General features: G+C 56.4%; 1 pseudogene; it reads right to left on the bottom strand.

The window, feature by feature from the left end:
- On the bottom strand, positions 1,414 to 1,826 carry KSR1P1 (kinase suppressor of ras 1 pseudogene 1; annotated as a pseudogene).

Genomic DNA, 2,404 nt, shown 5'->3' on the forward strand with positions numbered 1-2,404 from the left:
GATGACAAGACACTAGATCAGCCGTGTCCAACCCTTTGACTACAAGGACTTTTCCACCTATCTGTGGTTGTGGGTATCATGAAAATTATGCACAAACTTTTTTTTTTAAGCTCATCAGCTATCGTTAGCAGTAGTGTATTTTATGTGTGGCCCAGGAGCATTCTTCTTCCAATGTGGCCCTGAGAAGCCAAAAGACTGGACACCTGTGCACTAGATCAAAAGGCTACTCCTTCTGGAAGCAATTGTAAAGAATTTCTGACATTATCTTGACATGAAAACCAATGGATAGTGGGACAGAATGAAAAATCTTCAAGAATTTTTCTTGTTGGTTTTTTTTTTTTTGAGTCAAGGTGTTGCTCTGTGGCCCAGGCTGGAGTACACTGGCGAGATCACAGCTCAGTGCAGGCTCAAGTGCTCCTCCCGCCTCAGCCACAGTAGTAGCTAGGACTACAGATGCGCACAACCACTCCTGGCTAATATTTTATTTTTTGTAGAGATAGGGTCTCACTATATTGACCAGGTTGGTCTCAAACTCCTTGACTCAAGGGATCCAGGACAGGATAACAGGCATGAGCCACCACACCTGGCTATGCGCATGAACTTTGAAGACAAATACAAGGCTCCACAAAAGTTAAGGTTTTCCCACCTAATTTCCAGGGAATCTTTTGGTGCAAGGATGAGAAACCCTTAAAAGTACGCAGACAACTCCAAAGATTCAAGAGAGTTCATTCGGGCTGAGCCAGCCCACTGGGCAGACTGACCTTCAAGCAAGGCCCACCCATGACATACACCAGATGGCTCTCCAAGAATCTCTCCACTTCTCAGGGTCCCTAAAGTACTGGACAGAGCTAGGAAAGCAAACCCATTTGCTTATTGCTGCACGAAACCCCTTGAGGTCAAGACCCCACAATCAGACAAGAATGGAGTGGCTCACCCTCAGTCAACAGGCCAGACTCAAGGTGGTATAATGTCTTAACCAAGGGTGTGGGACTCCAGGTCTGAATCTCAACTCAGTTCTCCTTTGATAACCACAATTTGTTAATTTTCCTTAACAGGGGTTCCTGACAAGTCATTTCTCCCTCAGGCCTTCGGTTTCCTCACCTACAAGATGAGAAGGCTGCACCAGATGGAAATTCGGGGTGTAAGGGGACGTCCGCGCACAGCCCACCCCACCCACGGGCCCCTCGAGCCTCCATCAAAGTTCCCAACACGCACCCACCCCACAAATCCTGCCCAAGGTGAGGGCTGGTCCCAGGTCCTCCGGCTGCTGCATCAGCGAGTGCAGGAGGGAGGAGAAGCCTCCAAGGGAGAGACGCGGGCTCAAGCATGCAACTCGGCCGGGAGTGAACTGGGGCCCCGAGGGAGATGTCCAGTCTGGTGCTGGAGCCCAACCCTGGTCCCCGACCCCCTTATCTCCACTGTCCGTATCTCCTGCTGGGTGAGGTCCTTGGACACAGTGCACTTGGTGCGCAGCCCGCGCAGGCTGCCAATGGAGATGCCGATGAGCTTCTGGAGCTGCCTGCAGGGCTGCAGCGCCCGGCTGGCCGCGGCCCCTGTGCCTCCCTCCGCGATAGCCGCGTCACCCCCGCCACCGCCCTCCTTCTTCTCTCCCATCGGGGCCTAGCGCAGCGCCCCTCTATGCAGGCTGCAGTGGCCCAGGAGCGGAGCCTGGGGCGCGGGTGTCTAGGCAAGGAACCCCCGAACCAGGAGAGCTAGATCAGGAGTGACCCTCGGAGCTGCCTTAGCCAGGACGCCAGTAGATCTGGAAGCCGAGTCTGACGATCCCGCCCTCAGACCCGCGGCGGTGGGGGCAAAAACCCGCGACGGCGGGGTGAAAAAGCCTCAGCGGTAAAAACCTGCCGCAGCGGCAGTAAAAAGCCGCATGGGCAAGAAGCCATGGCGGCGGGGAAAAAGCCACGGTGATGGCAAAAAGCCGCGGCGGCGGGGGCAAAAAGCCGCAAAAAGCCGCGGCGGCGGGCGCAAAAAGCCGCAATGGTGGGGGCAAAAAGCCGGGGCGGTGGCGGAAAAAGCCGGGGCGATGGGGGCAAAAAGCCGTGGCGGCGGGGGCAAAAAGCTGCGGTGATGGGGGCAAAAAGCCGTAAAAAGCCACAGCGTCGGGGGCAAAAAGCCGCGGTGGCGGGTGTAAGAAGCCGCGGCGGCAAAAAGATGCGGCGGCCGGGACAGAAAGCCGCGGCGGCGGGGGCAAAAAGCAGGGGTGGCAAAAAGTCACGGCGGCGGCGGGGGAAAAAAGCCGCGGCAGGAAAAACCTGAGGCGGCGGGGGAAAAAAGCCGCTGCGGCGGGGACCAAAAGCCCCAAAAAGCCGCGGCATCGGGTGCCAAAAGCCGCAAAAAGCCACGGCGAAGGGGCTAAAAAGCCGCAAAAAGCCGCGGCAGAGGGGGCAAA

This window comes from Homo sapiens, chromosome 10 (genome assembly GCF_000001405.40).
Source record: "Homo sapiens chromosome 10, GRCh38.p14 Primary Assembly".
NCBI lineage: Eukaryota > Metazoa > Chordata > Mammalia > Primates > Hominidae > Homo > Homo sapiens.